Raw genomic sequence first — 23,238 nt, 5'->3', positions numbered from 1 at the left:
CACTGCACTCCAGCCTGGTTAACAGACTGAGACTCCATCTCAAAAAGGAAAAAAAAACTGGCCTGTATTTTTATAAAACGTCAATGTTAGGAAAGATAAAGCCAGACTGAGGAAGTGTTCAGAATGAAGGAGACTAAAGATACACAACAGAGTGCAATGCATGATCCAGGATTTTCTTTTACTATAAATGAGATAGACATAATCCAGAAATAATTTTATTACATTATTAGGACAACTGGTGAAATCTGAATGAGGTATGTAGATTAAAGTATTGTATCAATGTTAGTTTCCAAGCTTTTGATAATTGTTCTGTGGTTGTGTAAGAGAATGTCCTTATTTTTAGAAAATAAGAACTGGAGTATTTAGGAGGAAACAGTCATCATGTATGCAAATTTCTCCTAAATGGTTCAGAAAAATATAACCAGCATATGTAATATCAAGAGACAAGGATAAAGCAAATGTGGGAAAATATTAACATTTGGGAAACTGTGGAAGGTATATGGGAATTCTTTGTAATATAAAGAATTTCTTTTCTTTTTTTTTGTTTTTTTGAAGGCAAGGTCTTCCTCTGTCACCCAGGCTTCAGCCCCAACTCCCCTGGGCTCAGGCTATCCTCTTGCCTCAGCTTCCCGAGTAGCTAGGACTACAGGCATGCACCACCATGGTTGGCTAATTTTTTTTTTAGTTTGTTTTCAGTAGAGACAAGGTCTCACTATGTTGCCCAGGCAAGTCTCGAACTGCTGGGTTCAAGTAATTTACCCACCTTGGCCTCCCAAAGTGCTGGGATTACAGGCATGAGCCATCACACCTGGCCAATTTTTCTAAAAGTCTGAAATTAAGTCAAAATTTTGAAAAAGTTATAGCAATTATGGCAATCTCAATTATGGGTAAATGTGTGTCACATTATCTCCTTTACATTTTAAGTATTTCATAATTAAAAAAAAAAAGCAGAGAAAATTGTTTATCAGAGGAAACCTCAGAAGAGATGAGGCAGTCGTCAGCAAGTAGAAGGCTCCCTTTCAGGAAACTGAAACCGGGTGCCAGGTGGCTGCAGAGCGGGTGAGAGCTTAGCCCCCACCTCTCCACTGGAACCTAGTGACCCCATGCAGATAACAACCTGCCCAACTCTTCAGCCCTGACCTGGCATCATATTTATCTATAACTGGCAGTTCTTCTCTGACAGGATAGATTAATAAACATTAAAACACATCTAAAATTTATTTACCTGTTGTTCATGCAGGTATGCTAGTGTTCAGTCAGCATTTGTAAGACATTCGTTGTAAACAAAGCACTGAATTAGACAGAATAGATGAACAGAAAGATAAACAAGACCTGGCCAAATGTTGCCCCAAATCCATACCTGATGGAGACAGGAAGGGCCTTTAGTGCTTGTGTGTCAGTGGTGATACTATTCACTTTCATTTTTTTTCTGCCACATTTCATTTTCATACCAATTCTGGTTAGTGGGTTTCATTTATTCTCATTTTACAGATGAGAACGACCAGAGATGTTAGCTTGCCCAAAATTACTCAAATACTAAATGACAAAGCTAAGAGTATCATGTCCGAGGTAACAGGTCTGACTCCAGAGTTCATGTTCTCTCCTTATCATCCTATTTTATAAGTCACAAAAACATGAATACAGCAAAATTTCACTTACTCAACACTCCCGGGGATGAGTCATGCTGGACAGATGAATAAGTGAAAGGCTATCCTCTGAGAAATATTGTTCAAAACCTTCCAAGGTTAGAGAACAGAAGACTCCAGAAGCCTTTGGACAGTCTTTTCCTCCCTGTGATTCTTTTCCTCTTGGGCTTCTGGGATTTCAAACTCGGTACATCTGGTCTCTTGGAGACACATCCTCCCTGGAAGCTCCAGCAGAAGATGGCCAAAGACCCCTTTTGCCTTTTCTGCTTCTCCAAAGCACAAATGAGAGACTGATAATTCAGAAATAATTCTAATACCTACAAAATGAGAACAAAACAGGAAATACTTAAAAGCAGTCAGGTTTTCAAAGCACAGCTTTCTGATACTCACCCAGTCCTCTATCTTAAAACACTACCCCTTGGTTCTAGAGGGTGTGATGGCTATGCAGGTCTGTTTCTCATTTGTCAGCATTTTGCTATCTCCTGGACAAGCAGCTTTCAGTATTTATCTTGTCTGTAGTCCTAGAAATGGGTCTAATGATTCATTCTACTTCCATACGTAACCTCCCTGAATTTTAGTTTTGTCATCTGTATAAAAAGGGAATAAAAACATCTAACTCATAAAGACAAATGGGGAAACCATGTATGCATATCACACACAGTAAGCACTCCTATTAGTTGTCCAAGTCCAAACAGCTGGTAAGTAAGAGCTGGGACTCCATCTAGCCAGATTGGCTCCAGAATCAGTGTTTCTAATCACCTGTGGTGAAAGTCAACCACTCACACCTGCACCCCACTCAGTTTGCCTTTCTAGTTCATCTCTATCCCCAACCAGGGCCCACAAGCTGATACCACAGCAAGAACAGAATTGAGGGAACAGAAAGAGCCTATGAATCTATCGTATCATATACAGAGGGTATAATTTATGACTAAAGATGCAGCTACTTTATAATCTTCTGTACAGTTTGAATTCTTAAGAGTAGGCATCTAATACTTCCATAAGCAATAAAAAACATATAAATTCATTTTAGGATAAAAAATTACCAAACCTAGGAACTTTGGAAAGGAAGGAATTGCATATAGTTTTCATGTGTTTAATGTCAGTTAAATTACTAGAAACTTATCAGTAAATAGTATTTTCCTGTATCATGACAGTGGCTAAGAATAAGGGTTAAGAGTAGACATGTGTTGAATTCCAGCAACACTACCTTACACTACCAACACTACCTTACTAGCTGAACTTTACCTAACTTAGAATTCTGAGGGTGTTCTCACCTATAAATGGGAATAATAATACCTATCGTATGGGGTATTGTTAGGCTTCAGACAGTATAAATGAGGTGCTTGGTATGGTGCCAGGTTCATCACAAGCACTCAATATTTTTCTTTCTACAATATCACTTCTATGGCTGAAGAGTATCCCATCTCATGGGGATGTGCCATGATTCACTTACCCAGTCTCATACTGTTATTGATATCTTCAATTTTGTCAATAATATAAACAACAGCAAATTTTTTTCACACATTTCTGTTTATTTCTTTAGGGTGAAACCCTATAAGTGAGATGCTGGATCAAAGGATATGAGCATTGTAAACTTTTGACACACATTATCTACCAAACATAGTTTTACTAAGTTAAACCTTCTCTATATTAAAGGTATTTATTCAGCTCTTACCAATACTGTATATTATTTTAAAGATCTATGCTAATTTTATAGGCCAAAAAAACACAAACAACTCATATTGTTATGTACACATTTATTAGACATTTCAGTTTCTTTTGTTATGTTATAAAGCTCTTGGGCTCCTTAAAGTATGACCTGGCACAAAAAGAGAAAAACAATTTGAGTATGTAAAATTTTTAACGTAGTGTATTACGGAGGTGGCATTTCAAGTCATTTATGAGAGGATGAATTTTTCCAATGGGTTTTTTTTTTATTTTTGAGACGAAGTCTCGCTCTGTTACCCAGGCTGGAGTGCAACGGCACGATCTCAGCTCACTGCAACCTCTGCCTCCCAGGTTCAAGTGATTCTCTTGCCCCAGCCTCCCAAGTAGCTGAGATTACAGGTATGCACCACCGCACCTGGCTAATTTTCGTATTTTTAGTAAAGATGGGGTTTCGCCATGTTGGCCAGGCTGGTTTCGAACTCCTGACCTCAGGTGATCTGCCTGCCTTGGCCTCCCAAAGTGCTGGGATTACAGGCATGAGCCACCGTGCCCGGCCTTTCCAGTGGTTTTCGAAGTGCTCCCGACAGCCTCCCATGAGGGAAAGTGTGGGAATGGGGATAGGGGGTGCTGGCTGGTTGAGATAACTCTCATTCTTCCTCATTTCAACTACGTTAATCTGTTCTACATACTGAATTTATTGGTAAGCTTTGATCTGAAGGGTTCCATACCTGAAAAGAAAAACAAAAACACATTTAACGCAAGGTTTGGAAATAACTGGCATTTTTCAATCAATAAATACATACACAAAATGAGTTGAATGTCTTTTACATCATATACAAAAATACATTTCAACTGGATTAAAACATTAAATGGAAAAAAGCCCACAGAAATGACAACATAAGGAAGCATTAACTGATCTTGGGGATAAAGAGGACCTTTTCCAACACACTGATAAAAGCAAAAACTGTAACAAGAGGCACTATTGTCTGTATTGGTTTTTCCTAAAGTGTGCGCCTCTGATACAGGTTCAAAATGGTTTCATGGCCATAGAAGTGTGAAAATGCTACATATCAATAATTGCGCAGAGAGGGCCAAGCGCGGTGGCTCACGCCTGTAATCCCAGCACTTAGGGAGGCTGAGGCAGGTGGATCATTTGACGTCAAGAGTTTGAGACCAGCCTGGTCAACATGGTGAAACTCGTCTCTACAAAAACTACAAAAATTAGCCGGGTGTTGTAGCAGGTGCCTGTAATTCCAGCTACTTGGGAGGCTGAGGTAGGAGAATCGCTTGAACCTGGGAGGCAGAGGTTGCTGTGGGCCAAGATTGCACCACTGCAATGCAGCCTGGGTGACAGAGCGAGACTCTGTCTCAAAAAATAAATAAATAAAAAAAATAGTGCAGAGGTGGCTTAGGGCACTAACATCCAATTATTTCTATCAGCATCCCAGATCACCACAAAATACACACTCGATATGAAACAATGTGCAGAAGGACATCTTCTAGTGTTGTGTGCCCCAAGCAGACTCCTGACATTAAGCCCTTCTTTTTCCTAGACATTCTAGAGCCATCACTGTTGCTCTCTGGAGAGTCACAATGTCCTTAGCAAAGAAAGGCTATGAGAAGACCTAAAGTGGAAAAAGAATAAAACTAATTTAGTCCGCATTTGACTACAGAACCCTTCCTTCAACATGATGCCTACTAATATCCACAGAATTCATGGCACATAACCTGCCAAATGCCAGGCTATGTGGAAATTAATGTTTGAACAGGAAAATGTTGTACCAGAGGTGTCCTTGTAAAGGATGTAGTCCATTTCTTGCGATTTTACTGATACTCAATTTGAGGCCCTCTTTGATGTAATCTGCGGACACCTAGTGCTGATGCTTTAATTTAAGTACATACACATAATTTCCTACAATAAACTGCTGCCCATCTACATAAAAAACCCTGCTTGCAGACTGCCTTATATTTAAATTCTTATACATCATCACAATGCACTTATATCTTGGAATAATACGAAAGGATTTATTTAAATGATCCACAGGGTTAAAAAAGAAGTATGCAGGCTTGTGCTTTTGCTCTTACCTATTAAAATGTCTTCCGCAACTACAGATGTAGAAAGTATGTCAGGTACTTCTTATTCTGATTTTTATGTCATACAAAAGGAACTGAATTAGACTGTGTTTAGGAGACAGAGTTAAATGGGTCAGAGAGAGGGATCAGGCCCTTCTACAAAAACTAGAATGTTACTAGAATGAAGATATAACAAGTGTTTCACTTAAGCAAATTCTTAAACTTTATATTCTTCCACCCTAAAAGCACCCTTCAGGTTCTAAATAAAGGGAAAATAAAGACAGGTAACAGGCAAAGGTAATAGAATTGCAGTGATAAGCATTCTTCTGCTCCAACAATATTGGTTGTTTGGTTTTGCCATTTAAAATTAATAGTAACTCGGCTGGGCGCGGTGGCTCACACCTGTAATCCCAGCACTTTGGGAGACTGAGGCAGGCGGATCACCTGAGGTCAGGAGTTCAAGACCAGCCTGGCCAACATGGCGAAACCCCGTTTCTACAAAAATAAAATAAAATAAAATACGAAAATTAGCTGGGTATGGTGGCACATGCCTGTAATCCTAGCTACTCAGGAGGCTGAGGCAGGAGAATCGCTTGAACCTGGGAGGCGGAGATTGCAGGGAGCCAAGATTGCACCACTCCATTCCAGCCTAGGCAACAGAGTGAGACTCTGTCTCAAATAAATAAATAAATAAATAAATTAAATAAAATAAAATCAATAGTAACTTGAATTGTAAAGTGTTAGCTTTATGAGCATTAAGATTCAACTTCTGATCTATTTCTACGTTAAATGTGTCTCTGTATGTTTATTTTTATTTTAGAGACAGCATCTCTCCCTGTCACCCAGGCTGGAGTGCAGTGGTACTATCATAGCTCACTGCAGCCTCAAACTCCTGGGCTCCATCAGTCCTCCTGTCTCAACCTCCTGAGTAGCTAGGACTACAGGCACACACCAGTACAGCTGGCTAACTTTTAAAAATTTTAAATTTATTACTTGTAGAGATGGGGTTGACCAAGTTGTTCTTGAACTCCTGGCCTTAGGTAATCCTCCAGTCTAAGCTTCCCAAAGTGCTGAGATTACAGGCATGAGTCACTGCTCCCAGGCCCTCTGTACATTTAATAATGTCAATGCAAAAACAGCTGTTTGCACAAATACACTGCATTATTAACTTCCTGGTCTTCTGTTGCTAGTTTGAAATAATCAGATCTCAAATTTTAACAAAAATTCTGGCACTACAAAACCCTGGAAAGCCAGTTTTATTTGAATATCACTCGATTAGAGTCTACTCACTTTAAGATAAGGTTAGTATTTTTTCGACTATTTTAAATCTGAATTATATGGTATCTAATTTAAGCCTTCCTGGGAAATAAAAAAAAATTCCTCATTGTGTATTTACTACTTTACTTACAGTGACTAAGTTGTTGCAAATATATGTAAGTGCATGTGTGTTATGTGCAATTTCTATTTTTAGTAGGAACGTGGCACCAACAGTTACAGCACTGAGTTTGCCATGGGCTACTGTGTGACATGTGATGACTCAACTCTCCCACCTCTTTTCTCAAAATGATCGTGAAACCTTACACGTTTTGTCACAATGTTCATTGGCTTTCAACTGATAAAAACAAAATCCTAAACTTGGTGTGAATTCAGGCTCTCAAAACTTCATGTTTTAAGGTACTCATCTGGAAAAATCACAATATGACTTTGCTTTAGATTAGCATCAAAATGACAACATAAACATTTTTAAACTGCAACCAAATGGTGGATTCTCCAGGAACTTATGCTTGAATATCAGGCTGAAACACACTGCCATAGATGATAGCCATTAATTCATTCAACAATATCTATTCAGGCTATATATGCCTGGCACAGGGAATCCAACAATCAACAAACTGCCTGCCCTTATGAAAAGCCTTACTAAAGAGTCTAGTGGGGAAGGATGACAACAGACAAGTAATCATATAATTCCTGATGATTAGTGGTATAAAGAAAATGAGTGGGGGCCAGGCGCAGTGGCTCACGCCTATAATCCCAGCACTTTGGGAGGCCAAGGAGGGTGGATCACCTGAGGTCAGAAGTTCGAGACCAGCCTGACCAATATGGTGAAATCCCGTCCTACTAAAAATACAAAAATTAGCCGGGTGTGGTGGCAGGCGCCTGTAGTCCTAGCTACTTGGGAAGCTGAGACAGGCAAGTTGCTTGAACCCAGGAGGGGGAGGTTGCAGTGAGCCAAAATCATGCCACTGCACTCCAGCCTGGGTGACAGAGCCAAAAAAAAAGAAAAGAAAAGAAAATGAGTGGGATAGGGGAAGAGAGAAAAAGGATAGAGGTGTTGTTTTAGAGACACTGGTTAGAAAAGCCATCTCACTGGAACTGAGATTTGAGCTGACAACTATATAAATTCTACCTGGGAGTTTTCCAGGCAGAAGAGCAAGTGCCAAGGTCCTGAGACAGGAATGTACTTGGAATGTTTGAGGACCCACAAGGAGGCCAGTGTGGCTGAAGCACACAAGCCACGGAAATAATGTCAGAGAAGCCAGGTGCCTGATTACACAGGGTCCTTTATGTTGTAGTGATGACTTTGTTGGTCCTTAAAAAAGAAAAAGGATTGCAGGAGGCATGCTTCAGACAGACTGAGGATGGAACTTCTAGCTCTGGAACTCAATTTTTTTCTTTTACTTTTAAAAATCCACCTCACTGGGCCAGGTGCAGTGGCTCACACCTGTAATCCCAGCACTTTGGGAGCCCGAGGAGGATGGATCACCTGAGGACAGGAGTTCAAGACCAGCCTGGCCAACATGTGTTTTTTTGAGATGGAGTCTTGCTCTGTCGCCCAGGCTGGAGTGCAGTGGCACAATCTCGGCTCAATGCAAGCTCTGCCTCCCGGGTTCACGATATTCTCCTGCCTCAGCCTCCCGAGTAGCTGGGACTCCAGGCGCCCGCCACCACGCCCGGCTAATTTTTTTGCCCGCCACCACACCCGGCAAATTTTTTGTATTTTTAGTCGAGACGGAGTTTCACTGTGTTAGTCAGGATGGTCTCGATCTCCTGACCTTGTGATCCACCTGCCTCGGCCTTCTAAAGTAATGGGATTACAGCCGTGAGCCACCACGCACGGCCTATAATGTGTTTTTTAAAGAGGGGGGGATTATGAAGCAAATATGCAGAAAAATTAACTTTTGTTAAATCTAGTAGTGGGTGCATGAGTTTTTTTTTACATTATTTTTGCGTATATCTTTAAACGTTTCAAATATTTTAAGAGAAAAAAGCAGGCTTTCACTTAAAATGTTAAACAAGAGGCCGAGTGTGGTGGTACGTGCTGGAGGTCCCAGCTACTCAGGAGGCTGAGGTAGGAGGATAGCTTGAGCCCAAGAGTTCAACTCCAGCCTAGGCAACATAACAAGACCTTGTCTCTTAAACAAAAAATTACATAAAATTAAAAAATTAAATGTTAAACAAGAAATGTCTAATATCAAGATTGTTCATGATGTGATTATACAATACAGGTGAAAAACAATATGCACAGTAGAAGAGTCAGTATAGCAGAGTGGTTCTGGCACTAGATTGCTTTGGTTTTTTGTTTTCCTTTTTGTTTTTTGTTTTGAGGCAGAGTCTCACTCTGTCACCCAGACTGGAGGGCAGTGGCGTGATCTTGGCTCACTGCAACCTCCATCTACCACATTCAAGCAATTTTTCTGTCTCAGCTTCCCAAGCAGCTGGGACTACAGGCAGGCACCATGCCCGGCTGATTTTTGTATTTTTAACAGAGACAGGGTTTCACCATGTTGGCCAGGCTGGTCTCGAACTCCTGGCCTCAAGTGATCTACCTGTCCTGGCCTCCCAAAGAGCTGAGATTACAGGTGTTAGCCTGGCCTTGCTTTGGTTTTAATCCTGATTATGCTACCTACTAGCAATGAGACACTGAACAAGTTACTTAACCTTTCTGTGCCTCAAGTTCTTCATCTGAAAAATAAGAATGATAGTAATGGTACCTGCTTCATAAGGATATTAAAAGGATTAAGTAAATACTACATGTAAAGACCCTGGTGCACAATAGATGCTAAAAAGGTGTTAATAGCTATTATTATTATTATATAATTTTGGTTTCTTAAAAAAGTACATACTATACACACATAGAAAAAAGGAGCTTGAATGGTCCATTAAAAATGTTAGCAATTATAATCTCTGATAGATAATTTTAATTTTCTTTTTAACCTATTTCTGCACATTCTGACAAGCAATTCCTTTTGTATTATAAACAACAGAAACACAACAAGCCTTCCCCAAAAGTGCCCTACAAGTTTGGTAAGCAGTGATTCTCAAAGTGTGATCCTCGCAAGGACTGGCAGCATCTGCAACCAGAGAACTTGCTAGAAATGTAATTCTCAGGCTCCACCTCAGACACACTCATTCTAAGATGGAGCCCAGCAATCTGTGTTTTAGCAAGCCTTCCAGACTGTGATGCACATTAAAGCTTGAGGACTACTGTGCGAAGGAATGACTTGCAGCTCTGTACTCGGTCATTTGTCTCAAGGGGCCCTGGTGTAAGGTCTTAAAGAGTGGAATACTGGCCACTGCTCAAACACATTCACATTAGAAAAAAAAAAAGGCCGGGGACGGTGGCTCAAGCCTGTAATCCCAGCACTTAGGGAGGCCGAGGCAGGCAGATCACGAGGTCAGGAGATCAAGACCATCCTGGCTAACACGGTGAAACCCCATCTCTACTAAAAATACACACAAAAAAATTAGCCGGGCGTGGTGGCAGGCACCTGTAGTCCCAGCTACTCGGGAGGCGGAGGCAGGAGAATGGCGCGAACACGGGAGGCGGAGCTTGCAGTGAGCCGAGATCGCGCCACTGCACTCCAGCCTGGGAGACAGAGCGAGACTCCATCTCAAAAAAAATAAAGTTAAACTCCTGCTGACCCAACAAAACTACATCAAGCCAAGTTTGGCTACTGGTCACCAGTTTGTATTGACTTCTTGCCTAATTCTCTCTCAAATCAGTAAGCAGCTGTGATGTAGTGGAAAGAGTGAGTGCTGAACAAGGAAAACCTTGATTTGAAGCCCAGCTCTATTTCATAGCTGGTGGTAATAAAAACGATGTTAACCTTTTAGAGTTAAATCTTATCCGTATAAGGACAATACTGTATCACAGGAGTGTTTTAAAGATTAAGATGATATACTCAAAACACTGCCCTATAATAAATTGCCCTCAATTAAATTTTCATAGCATTTGTGATATTTCCTGTATTATTTTGATTACATGCTTTATTCTACTTATATTTATGAACAATTTAGTTTAGCCTCCCTCTTCTATTAAACTCTAAGCTTCTTTGAGACAGAGATGAAATTTTGCATCCCTTTAAATTCTTATAATACCTACTTCAATAATTAGTCCCTCCCAAATCCACTTTGAGCTTCAGTCGAAGCTTGTGACTGGAAGTCTGACTATACGTGGCACGGGTCTGGAAGAACACAGTCAATTCTTGGTAAAGATGTATAGTTTATATAGGCAGGTATGTGGCCAACTTACAGCAATCCCCAAAGTTATGATTCCCTTCCTTATATATATAAAATATAAAAGATCAAGAACAATGATGGTTGTTCTGTTGGTAAAAGTGGATGACTTCTGCATTTACATTTACCAAGTTTGTTAAAAGCAATATAGGGAGTTTACAAGTGCCATACTAGAAACTATGAAAAAGATGAATTTCTATTTTAACTGAATTTTGGCAATTTAGGTATTAGTGATGCTGGGGTGATGGTGGTAGAAGAGACGTGTATCAGCACAGCTAATGTCAGAGGCCCAGCTTATTCTTTTCATCTGGACTACTAAAAACAAGAACTATTATCTACCCCACAAAAATCCTGTGAAAGTTAATTAGGTAGTTAAGTTAATCTTCATTAGGCAAGATCATGGAATTTGGGAGGAAAAGAGGAAGGAAGCCTGCAGATCTTGCATAAGCAGGAGAGGCTTTCTACACTCCTCCGGTCTTATAAGAAACAGTATGTCCTATTTTTGACCTAACAATTTTTTTTCTTTGTAGGTATCCATGCCTTCTAAGTGCTAGTAATAAAGAATTAATTCACATATTAAACTTGACATGGTTAATTTCATTGCCCCTTTATGTTAGCTTTCTTTCTGAACTTTGAGTGCATCTACAAACTTATTAAATGATCTAGACAAGCCAGAAAAAGGCTTCTCATTTCTTCAGTGGGGTGGGAAGTGATTATTTTGTCATAGTATGGTTCAGAATGACATATTCAAATACAATTTTAAAAATCTACTTCACTATGTATATGTATCATCAATAAGAAAAATTTGGCCTGGTGTTGTTAAGATATAAAAGTACCTGACAGTGTTAGAATTGCAGACTGTTGTCATCTCATGTGCTACAAAGCTTTAATTCAATTATTTGGATTCTGTATGAGAAAAACTTTCACTGCAGGTGTAACATTTTCGTCACAGCATAAAATAATCTCCACTTAAAGGAGATACCCAATTTCTCTACTTATAAAGCATTCAACTGTTAATAAAAAATCAGTGCCAAAACCAATCTGTGTAGTTACCACCAAACTTGTTAGAATAAACAACTTTTCTTGCATGAATTCTCTGAGAAAAACTTTATTGAAAAATACCCCCTCCGGCCGGGCACGGTAGCTTGCGCCTGTAATCCCAGCACTTTGGGAGGCCGAGGCGGGCGGATCACCTGAGGTCAGGAGTTCAAGACCTGCCTGACCAACATGGAGAAACCCCGTCTCTACTAAAAATACAAAATTAGCTGGGCGTGGTGGCTCATGCCTGTAATCCCAGCTACTCGGCAGGCTGAGGCAAGAGAATGGTTTGAACCTGGGAGGCGGAGGTTGGGGTGAGCCAAGATGACGCCATTGCACTCCAGCCTGGGCAACAAGAGTGAAACTCTGTCTCAAAAAAAAAAAAAAAAAAAGAAAGAAAAATATCCCAAGATAGGAAAAATCACTTCTCTTGTAATTAAGGTCCATTATGGAGGATTTCTCTTTCAAATATTTATTTTCAAGAAAATTGTAGCAATTAGGTGCACATCAAAACTAATACCCTTTATGGGCCTCTATTTTGCAGATGGTTCATTTCAAAGCATCAAGTTCTACATACATACATACACACACACACACACACACACACACACACACACACACAACCTAATCAGGCGGTTTCCTGGGCAGCTACAGAAGACTCAAATGATCTCATGGACTTCACTAATGTTTCTAGTTGGTGCCAAATGTTTCAGAAATTTTGAGGTAGTCCACTTACCTAAGGTGATACTAAACTTCCAGAAAGCAAGAATTTCCGTAATAAGTGAAAGAGGATGAATGTACAAAAATAATACTAGCTTTCAATTAACATATGAATATTGTTCTGTATGAAGAGGCAGTTTCCTACCCAAGTGAAAAAAGAATAAAGCTGTTGCCTCCTTAACATTAAACATCCCTTCATCACTAAGAGGAGACTCTAAGGCCTAGCAAAAGATTTGAGCCTAACATTTTGGGTTTTTTTTTTTTTTTTGAGACGGAGTCTTGCTCTGTCGCCCAGGCTGGAGTGCAGTGGCGTGATCTCGGCTCACTGCAAGCTCCGCCTCCCGGGTTCACGCCATTCTCCTGCCTCGGCCTCCCAAGTAGCTGGGACTACAGGCGCCCGCCACTACGCCCGGCTAATTTTTTTGTATTTTTAGTAGAGACGGGGTTTCACCATGTTAGCCAGGATGGTCTCGATCTCCTGACTTCGTGATGCATCCGCCTCAGCGTCCCAAAGTGCTGGGACTACAGGCGTGAGCCACCGCGCCCGGCCGGGATTTTTTGGTAAGCAGCAGCGTAAAAATCACTCTCAAGGTTTGAGATTGGGATCCAGCATAACTGGTGACTTGACCTTGGGCAAGTCACTTAATTCCTTTTAGTCTCAGTTTCCCTGATTGTAAATGAAGTCAACACCACCTGGTAAAGGTATTACAGGACTGGTGTGAGGATGAGATGATACATGTGAACATATTATTAAATATGTAAACTATAAGGCAATAGTAAGCAAATGCTAGTTACTATTCTATGTAATACAGGCCTAACCTTTCCTGCCTATGTCCTGATCTGTAAAAAGAAGACAGGTTGAGATCTGAATGTCTATCCACTCACTTATCAGCTGCGTGAACTTTAGCAAGTCATTTCCTTTCTGGGCCTGTTTCCTAAGAAGGTTATTTTTTAAGATCAAATGATATCGTGTTATGCAAATGCTGTCCAGACACATATTAAGAACTTAACACATGATGGCTCTTATTATTCTCTGGGGAGTAGGGTGGTAAAGAGCAAATGAAATTAAACCTAGTTAAGAGAATTTGTATATGCACACAAAACTCTACAGACATCCAAGGTACCGTTATTTGCACTGTAAACTGCCAAAACATGCAGGAAACGAGAAATCAAATGGCGCCTCAGTGATTCGCACTAGAGAGGGGGAGAAGGCAGAGCTTCCGAGAATCAACTGTTTTCCCCCTTATGGCCTCCAGCCTAGATTAGACCATTTATTCAACTTCCCAGCCCCCAATATCCCTGGACATTTATTTACTGTACCTTTTTCACTGAGAGCCTTTCCACTCCCCTCCCCTTCTAGTAGTCGTGAACTTCAGACCCTCGCTTCGACTCCCACTGCCATAACTGTTTTTAACCAAGCTTCCCTGAATCCTCCCCTCCGCCTAAGGAGGAAGTGCAGCTAGACGCACCGCACGGCATCCTAGGAAATGTGGTCTCTCAGACTCTTTGCCTTGGGCTGCAGAGTGGGGAAGACGACGAAGGAGAGCCCAGTAAAACTACAACTACCGGCAGGCAACGCGAGTCACCATCTTTCTTTCGCCCCTTTTCCTGTTGCCGTCCTCTTCCTCCTCTCCTCTAGCGCTGAACCGCTTGGCCTCACGGTACTTGTAGTTCCTTCTGGACTCAAGATCCTAGGGCTTGATGGCCAGCACAGAGGCTGGAAGACTCTAATTCCCAGAGGGCAGAGCGGAAGCTGCGCCTGCGCACACTCAATGAGGGCGTGTATGTCTGTGTCTGAGGGAGAGAGAGCGAGAGTGAGTGAGTGTGAGTGCGGGGTGGGGTGGTGGCCGTTACGTTCGGGGCAACGGCTACGGCAGTGGAGAAGTAAGAAGAGAAACAACGTCCGGCGCTTCCGCCTTCGCTTAGGAGGAGGAAGAGCTGGTAGGGAAAGGAAAGTGCTTCGCCCTGGGCCTGGACTGGACCGAGTCGGGTTGGTGGGGGTCTGGGCTATGAGCTTTTGAGGGTCGCCTGGGACGCGGAGCGAGACACGAGAGCCAGGAGCTATGTCTCAGCCGCCGCCGCCGCCGCCTCCGTTGCCGCCGCCACCTCCTCCCCCTGAGGCTCCACAGACTCCGTCGTCCTTGGCGTCGGCGGCTGCTTCGGGGGGGCTTTTGAAGCGGAGAGACCGGAGAATCCTTTCCGGGAGCTGCCCGGATCCGAAGTGTCAGGCGCGTCTATTTTTCCCGGCCTCCGGTTCTGTCAGCATCGAGTGTACCGAGTGCGGCCAGCGGCACGAGCAGCAACAGCTGCTGGGGGTTGAGGAGGTGACCGACCCGGACGTAGTGCTACACAACCTGCTGCGGAACGCGCTGCTCGGGGTTACGGGGGCACCCAAGAAGAACACGGAACTGGTAAAGGTGATGGGCCTTTCCAACTATCACTGCAAATTGTTGTCGCCCATATTAGCTCGCTATGGAATGGACAAACAGACAGGCCGGGCCAAGCTTCTCCGGGACATGAACCAGGGCGAACTGTTCGATTGCGCCTTACTGGGTGACCGCGCCTTCCTCATAGAACCAGAGCATGTTAACACTGTGGGCTATGGCAAGGACCGCTCCGGAAGCCTCCTGTATTTGCATGACACTCTGGAGGACATTAAGCGGGCCAATAAAAGCCAGGAATGTCTCATTCCAGTGCATGTGGACGGGGATGGACACTGCTTGGTGCATGCTGTGTCTCGGGCTCTAGTAGGCCGAGAGCTCTTCTGGCATGCCTTAAGAGAGAATCTTAAACAGCACTTTCAGCAGCACCTGGCCCGATATCAAGCTCTGTTCCATGACTTCATTGATGCTGCTGAGTGGGAGGACATTATCAATGAGTGTGACCCTCTGTTTGTACCACCTGAGGGTGTTCCCTTGGGCCTGAGGAATATCCACATATTTGGTCTTGCCAATGTGCTACATCGTCCTATTATTCTGTTAGATTCCCTCAGTGGCATGAGAAGCTCTGGTGATTATTCAGCCACCTTTCTACCTGGGCTCATCCCTGCAGAGAAGTGCACTGGGAAAGATGGTCATTTGAACAAACCAATCTGTATTGCATGGAGCAGCTCCGGTAGAAACCATTATATCCCCTTGGTAGGCATAAAAGGGGCTGCTTTGCCCAAACTGCCTATGAATTTGCTTCCTAAAGCATGGGGTGTGCCTCAGGACCTTATTAAAAAGTACATAAAACTTGAAGAGGATGGTGGTTGTGTTATTGGAGGTGACAGAAGTTTGCAAGATAAATACTTACTTAGGCTTGTTGCTGCTATGGAAGAAGTCTTTATGGACAAACATGGTATCCATCCTAGTTTGGTTGCTGATGTCCATCAGTATTTCTACAGAAGGACTGGAGTGATAGGAGTTCAGCCTGAGGAAGTCACAGCAGCTGCTAAAAAAGCAGTAATGGATAATCGCCTTCACAAATGTTTGCTCTGTGGTGCCCTTTCTGAACTTCATGTTCCTCCAGAGTGGTTGGCTCCTGGAGGGAAATTGTATAACCTGGCAAAAAGTACTCATGGACAGCTGAGGACTGACAAAAATTACAGCTTTCCCTTGAACAATTTGGTTTGCTCATATGATTCAGTGAAAGATGTTCTGGTACCAGACTATGGAATGAGTAACCTAACAGCTTGTAATTGGTGCCATGGCACATCTGTGCGAAAGGTCAGAGGAGATGGGTCTATTGTGTATTTGGATGGAGACAGAACTAATTCTAGGTCCACTGGTGGCAAATGTGGTTGTGGATTCAAACACTTTTGGGATGGTAAGGAGTATGACAATCTACCAGAAGCTTTCCCTATTACTTTAGAATGGGGTGGAAGAGTGGTCAGAGAAACAGTATATTGGTTCCAGTATGAAAGTGATTCATCTTTGAATAGTAATGTTTACGATGTTGCAATGAAACTTGTTACCAAGCACTTTCCAGGTGAATTTGGGAGTGAAATCCTAGTTCAGAAAGTTGTCCACACTATATTGCATCAGACTGCCAAAAAGAATCCCGATGATTATACTCCTGTAAATATAGATGGTGCTCACGCCCAAAGAGTTGGAGATGTTCAAGGACAAGAATCAGAGTCTCAGCTCCCAACTAAAATTATTCTTACTGGACAGAAAACAAAAACTTTGCACAAGGAGGAGTTAAACATGAGTAAAACTGAAAGAACTATTCAACAGAATATTACGGAACAGGCTTCTGTAATGCAGAAACGGAAAACAGAGAAGTTAAAACAAGAACAAAAAGGGCAACCCAGGACTGTTTCTCCCAGTACCATTCGTGATGGTCCATCCTCTGCACCTGCTACACCTACCAAGGCTCCCTATTCACCGACAACTTCTAAGGAGAAGAAGATCCGAATCACAACTAATGATGGACGACAGTCCATGGTTACCCTTAAGTCTTCAACAACCTTTTTTGAACTTCAGGAAAGTATAGCCAGAGAATTCAACATTCCTCCATATTTACAGTGTATTCGATACGGGTTTCCTCCTAAAGAGTTAATGCCACCACAGGCAGGAATGGAAAAGGAACCAGTTCCTTTACAGCATGGCGACAGAATTACAATAGAAATTCTAAAAAGTAAAGCTGAAGGTGGTCAGTCTGCTGCAGCACACTCAGCCCACACTGTGAAACAAGAAGATATTGCTGTTACTGGTAAACTGTCATCTAAGGAACTTCAGGAGCAAGCTGAAAAAGAAATGTACTCCTTGTGTCTTTTAGCAACATTAATGGGTAAGATGAATTTAATTCTGATGGTATATCTTAATTGTAAATATAATACACTGAGTTTTCCTGTTATCTTTGGGGGAAAAGAAATCTGTAGCCATTGTAAGTTTTTAATTATATATTTCAGGAGAGAATTATTTTTAGTATTTTGAACAGTTGATAGATGTTAATAGGATTATTGAGTAACTATTAGGAAAATAGAAAGTTAAGGTAGTCCCTCAATAATAGTCAACAGATTATTTAAATATATCTTATTCTTGCAATTGCTTTTTAAAAAACAGACTTGTATTTATTTAAAGCGTTTTAAATTTTTTGGTAGGCTCTATTGATCCTGCCTACCTTGCCCCTTTTTCATTTATTTTTAATTTTTATTTTCCTGTATGTCATGTGATTTCAGCACTTCCTGTTTGATGAATTGCAGTTTCTGGTGTTTATATTCTCACTGCACTCCCACCTAGTAGTCTCTTACATTTCATTTTCTTCCTTTCCCAGTTCATCACATTTTTCTTTCTCATACACTAGGATTTGTATGTAAGTACACTAGGATTTGTATTTAAGTAATTTCACTACTCAAGTCTTTGCCATCAATTATAATGAACTGTTATAAGTTGTAGTTCATGAGAAACATAAACAGAGATGGATGGTAATGGTGTAAAGAAGTATTTGTTTTTAATCAGCATAAATTAAAGAAAAATATATTAACCAAATGTGTAATTTAAAGCTTTAGATGATTTGGGATACTGTTCAATGGTGTACTTTTTACAGTGTCTATATTTGCTTAGTCTTTGTTTTGAAATAACTTAGTATGCTTTACTAAGTCTTAAAGTATGAAGTAAAATTTAAATGTGTTAGTTACTGGAAGGGTTTTATTTTTGCTGAGATTAAAGCTTTCAACGAGAAAAGTCATCTGGGTTTTGATTCTGTTTTCTGATAGTACTATATGGCAGTGATTTGGGCCTTAATCTATCAAAATGAATACTACTCCTGGCTTATCTGGGGGAGTAGTAAATAGGGGATCTAAAAACCCTGCACAAATTTAGAACCCGGAATTGTTGATTTTAGTTTGCCAGACATAGTAATTGAATTGGGGAGTATGTCAGGAACTGTCCTACGCACTTTATATATTTCTTTTTTTTTTTTCTTTTTTTTTTGAGATGGAGTCTTGCTCTGTCTCCAGGCTGGAGTGCAGTGGCGCCATCTCGGCTCACTGCAAACTCCACCTCCCGGGTTCAAGCAATTCTCCTGCCTCAGCCTCCCAAGTAGCTGGGACTACAGGCCCACGCCTCCATGCCCAGCTAATTTTTGTATTTTTAGTAGAGACGGGGTTTCAACTTGTTGACCAGGATGGTCCTGATCTCCTGACCTTGTGATCAAGGTCACTTAAATACGAATGCTAGTGTACTTAAATACAAATCCTAGGTGGCCTGTGACTGTAATCCCAGATACTCTGGAGGCTGAGGCAGGAGAATCGCTTCAACCCCGGAGTTGGAGGTTGCGGTGAGCCTAGATCGCGCCACGGCACTCCAGCCTGGCGACAGAGCGAGACTCTGTCTCAAAAAATAAATAAATAAATGAATAAGTAAATAAATAAAAGACCTTCAATCTCCCAGGTCAAAAACAGGAAAGAGAAGATCTTCCTCAATAGAAGATGGACTCTTGAGAATGTGGCTCTTACCTTTATCCTTGTATGCACAGAACCTGATAATAGTGCTCAGCAGGTAGTATGCACTCTGAAATGTTTTTTAATTGAATTAAATAGATGACATTAACACAGCTAAAGAAAGGCTGTATCTGCAGAAATGGAATGGATGGTCAGTCAGCACTGAACATTGAAAAAAGTGAAAAGCAGAATTCGGCAATGTTCATATACTGCTGTACAAAGGAAAAAGGTACATCATCTGGGGTTCATGAAAATTCTGGTAACTAGAAAGGTAATCTCTGTCGAGGGGTAGGAATATTTGAACAATCCTGACTGTGGCCTGGCTGAAACATCTCTATCCCTTTGCCTGATTTCCATGTTCATCAGGCATCTATTCGTAACACTTATTTAGCTTCCTGATAACAAGTTTTGATGTACAGGTGACAGTGCAGATAAGGACGTGTTCACTTTGAAAGCTGTATTCTCCATTGTAGACTAATAAACGGACATGGGCAGGATTATGATCAGTAGTCTTAAAAATATGATCAGAGCCAGTCACGGTGGCTCATGCCTGTAATCCCAGCACTTTGGGAGGCTGAGGCGGGCAGATCACGAGGTCAGGAGTTCGAGACCATCCTGGCTAAGATGGTGAAACCCTGTTTCTACTAAAAATACAAAAAAAAAATAAGCCGGGTGTGGTGGCAGGAGCCTGTAGTCCCAGCTTGTCAGGAGGCTGAGGCAGGAGAATCTTGTGAACCGGGGAGGCAGAGGTTGCAGTGAGCCGAGATCGTGCCACTGCACTCCATCCTGGGCGACAGAACAAGACTGTATCTCAAAAAAAAAAAAAAAATCTGATCGGTATGATTATATATAGATTTTTGAGACAGAGTCTCACTCTGTCGCCCAGGCTGGAATGCAGTGGCGCGATCTCAGCTCATTGCAACCTCTGCTACCTGGGTTCAAATGATTCTCCTGCCTCAGCCTCCTGAGTAGCTGGGATTACAGGCATGTGCCACCACACCTGGCTAATTTTTTTGTATTTTTAGTAGAGACAGGGTTTCACCGTGTTAGCTGGGATGGTCTCAATCTTCTGATCTCATGAACCGCCCGCCTCGGCCTCCCAAAGTGCTGGGATTACAGGCGTGAGTCACTGTGCCTGGTTGATAATATATTTCATAATGAAAATTAATCAAATATAATTCTGGTGTATAAATACTTTCTGAGTTTGGTTGGAGGTTCTTGGACCTGAATATCTGAGAGAACCTAGAGTATGGACTGCAATGAGTTCACCAAGATAATGTCTTTCTATTCTGATCCCTTCCCTCTTCATATCCAGCATTTATGCCTGTATAAACCCACAAATTTCTTTAAAACTTCTTCCACTACCAACACAAAATTTGGGTGTAAAAGAGAGCATTGTGTTACTTTTGTAATGATATCACTTGAGATACTTTCTGCTTTAAATTGAAGTATTAAGTGCATAGCCTGTATTATATTAGTCCCTTATAAATCTTAGTTTTCTTCCTCTAGTTCGCTTATGACTGTATTTGAATTATGTAGAAGATTTTTTTTTTGAGACAGAGTCTCGCAGTGTCGCCAGGCTGGAGTGCAGTGGTGCGATCTCGGCTCACTGCAACCTCTGCCTCCTGGGTTCAAGCAATTGTCGTGCCTCAGCCTCCCAAGTAGCTGGGATTACAAGCACGTGCCACCACACCCAGCTAATTTTTGTATTTTAATAGAGAGAGAGTTTCTCCATGTTGGTCAGGCTGGTCTTGAACTCCCGACCTCAGGGGATCCGCCCTCCTCGGCCTCCCAAAGTGCTGGGATTACAGGCATGAGCCACTGCGCCTGGCCGAAGATATTCTTAATTTAAAAAAAAAGATGTTCCTACAAAATTCAGTTTGGGGATAAATACTAACCATATGTAAAGAGTACTGGGGAACTGTTGATGTTTAGATTGGAGAGGACTAGAAAATGACAGAGCTTGTTTAGAAGATTACAGATTTCAAAGTGCAGAAATTACTTTGTGAATTACCAAATGTGAGCTAAGCTGTGTTATGTTAGTTTAGAATATAGCTCATCAGACTTTATGCTGTTCAAATAGCTGGTTCTTTCTCGTTTAAGTTTAGGCTTAAATACCACCACCCTGTAAGGGTTTGAGAAAACTTTGCTGACCATTCTAAGTAGGTTCCCTCTATCAGTGTACCCTGTTGATGTCCCTCACGGCATCTATCACAATTTTTAATAATCTTATTTGTTGGTTTAATTATTTGTTTGCCTCCCCCACTATATTATAAAGTCCATCAAGACAGAGACTGAACCCTATTTTCTTCACTAATCAATACCTTATTTCCTAGTTCAGGGCCTGGCACATAGTAGGTACCAAGTAAATGCTTGTTGGATTAATGAATGCAATTATTTCAGCAAAATCAGTGTATACTATGAACTTGTATGTATGTTGAGTGTACAAAGATAAATGAAAGTCAGTGCTTGCCCTCCATTAACTTACCTGCAGGCTTTCAGCTGAAGGAGTTCCATACTTTTTAGCTTTCATCAGCAGATCTCCAGCTTTATTTTCTAAATACATAAAAATTATAAAATCCCCAAATAGGACCAACACAGCATTTTAGAACTTCTCATTTGATTAAGAATCAAATATATACATGGGGATTGTATATTTTCTTTCTTTTTTTTTTCTGGAGACAGATTGTCGCCCAGCCTGGAGTGCAGTGGTGTGATCCCAGCTCACTGCAACCTCTGCTTCCTGGGTCCAAGTGATTCTCAACCTCTCAAGTAGCTGGGACTACAGGTGCGCACCACCACGCCCAGCTAATTTTTTGTATTTTTAGTAGAGATGGGGTTTCGCCACGTTGCCCATGCTGGTCTCGAACTCCTGAGCTCAGACAATCCACCGCCTCGGCTTCCCAAAGTGCTAGGATTACAGGCGTGAGCCACTGCACCCGGCCTGTATGTTTTCACTAAATGGGCTGACTGCATGATAGCCAGGGACATGAGCTTTTTCTTTCATTTTTAAGTAGGATATTCATTGATTAGATCGTCTATTACTTATATTAATAAAACAATAAGTAGGTGTATTAGTCTTTGGCTTAGTACAAGTCATTCATGGAACCTAGTAACTTTGAATCTTAGGAACTATAAAATGGAATAACAATATTTTACCCATAATATTTTACATTTTTAATCTCTTTTATCCAGACCACAAAGTAATTGAACTTAATTTTTTGCAGACAGTCATCTTCATTATTTATATAATACTTAAAAGACTAACTCTGGCTTTGCAAAATATGTCATTCAGATTTCTTGTAGACCTGGTGCGGTTGCAGTGAGCCAAGATTGCGCCACTGCACTCCAGTCTGGGCAACAGAGCAACACTCTTTCCAAAAAAAAAAAAAAAATTTCTTGTAGATCAGTTATTTGTAGGTTTTCTTTCATGGTAGACAGGATAGGTGGTACATTATCCACCATAAATATTTGGGCTAATTTATTTTTTCTTAGTGTTATATTTCATTAAGTTTCTAGTTTTGTTTGTTTTTTTGTTTTCCTAGAGGTAAGGACAGATTTAGGTGAAGAACAGAATTTGTCAGTTTGGAGTTACTTAAATGAAATTAGGCTACATGACACTTCCTTGCTTTACTACAAAGTGTACCAACCTTTCAGGAGTTGAGAAACTTGTTTCATTTTGATATACTTTCTCTGTTCCTGAAAGAATTGTGTGGCTTTTTAACGTATATATATATTTAAAATACACAATATTTTGTAATTTCATAATACCTCTTGATGTCGTAAATGCCTTAGAATTTTCCAGAATCGGCTGGGTGCGGTGGCTCACGCATTTAATCCAGCATTTTGGGAGGCTGAGGCGGGTGGATCATGAGGTCAGGAGTTTGAGACCAGGCTGGCCAAGATGGTGAAACCCCGTCTCTACTAAAAATACAAAAATTAGCCGGGCATGATGGCGCTCGCCTGTAATCCCAGCTACTCAGGAGGTTGAGGCAGGAGAATCACTTGAACCCAGGAGGCGGAGGTTGTAGTGAGCCAAGATCATGCCATTGCACTCCAGCCTGGTGACAGAGTGAGACTCTGTCTCAAAAAAAGAAAAAAAGAATTTTCCAGAATCACGCTTGGGACTGAGACACTTATTTTTTAGGT

General features: G+C 41.4%; 2 protein-coding genes and 1 long non-coding RNA gene across 5 annotated transcripts in view, besides 3 other annotated features; 1 reads left to right on the top strand and 2 right to left on the bottom strand.

Annotated features, from left to right (window-relative positions):
- The window catches only part of C8orf44-SGK3 (C8orf44-SGK3 readthrough), a 194,427-nt gene extending 180,339 nt beyond the window's left edge, over positions 1–14,088 (bottom strand). The window contains exons 1-2 of the mRNA NM_001204173.2: positions 13,983–14,088; positions 1,660–1,963 (exon numbers count right to left, since the gene is read on the bottom strand). The gene's annotated coding sequence lies outside the window, so the exon portion shown is untranslated. The remainder of the gene's footprint in view (positions 1–1,659; positions 1,964–13,982) is intronic.
- On the bottom strand, positions 153–14,088 carry C8orf44 (chromosome 8 putative open reading frame 44). Of its 3 annotated transcripts, NR_161218.1 has the most exons (4): positions 13,983–14,088; positions 4,782–4,939; positions 3,730–4,042; positions 3,389–3,465 (listed from the first exon to the last, which is right to left on the bottom strand). It is a non-coding gene; the product is annotated as a chromosome 8 putative open reading frame 44 (long non-coding RNA). The 3 variants fall into 3 exon arrangements; NR_161216.1 differs by lacking the exons at positions 3,389–3,465; positions 4,782–4,939 and adding an exon at positions 153–1,963; NR_161217.1 differs by lacking the exons at positions 3,389–3,465; positions 3,730–4,042; positions 4,782–4,939 and adding an exon at positions 153–1,963.
- Positions 13,856–14,365: an enhancer, noted in NCBI's record as "active region_27491". NCBI's record gives its function as "activates an Ori minimal core promoter by ATAC-STARR-seq in GM12878 lymphoblastoid cells {active_cell/tissue: GM12878}" and the evidence as "EXISTENCE:reporter gene assay evidence [ECO:0000049][PMID:35858748]".
- The window catches only part of VCPIP1 (valosin containing protein interacting protein 1), a 38,745-nt gene continuing 29,959 nt past the window's right edge, over positions 14,453–23,238 (top strand). Inside the window, exon 1 of the mRNA NM_025054.5 lies at positions 14,453–17,435. Coding sequence (NP_079330.2) covers positions 14,726–17,435 — 2,710 coding nt within the window. The 5' untranslated portion in view covers positions 14,453–14,725. The remainder of the gene's footprint in view (positions 17,436–23,238) is intronic.
- Positions 14,736–15,255: an enhancer, noted in NCBI's record as "active region_27490". NCBI's record gives its function as "activates an Ori minimal core promoter by ATAC-STARR-seq in GM12878 lymphoblastoid cells {active_cell/tissue: GM12878}" and the evidence as "EXISTENCE:reporter gene assay evidence [ECO:0000049][PMID:35858748]".
- Positions 15,506–15,565: an enhancer, noted in NCBI's record as "active region_27489". NCBI's record gives its function as "activates an Ori minimal core promoter by ATAC-STARR-seq in GM12878 lymphoblastoid cells {active_cell/tissue: GM12878}" and the evidence as "EXISTENCE:reporter gene assay evidence [ECO:0000049][PMID:35858748]".

This window comes from Homo sapiens, chromosome 8 (genome assembly GCF_000001405.40).
Source record: "Homo sapiens chromosome 8, GRCh38.p14 Primary Assembly".
NCBI lineage: Eukaryota > Metazoa > Chordata > Mammalia > Primates > Hominidae > Homo > Homo sapiens.
This window is presented reverse-complemented; position numbering and strand designations above follow the sequence as displayed.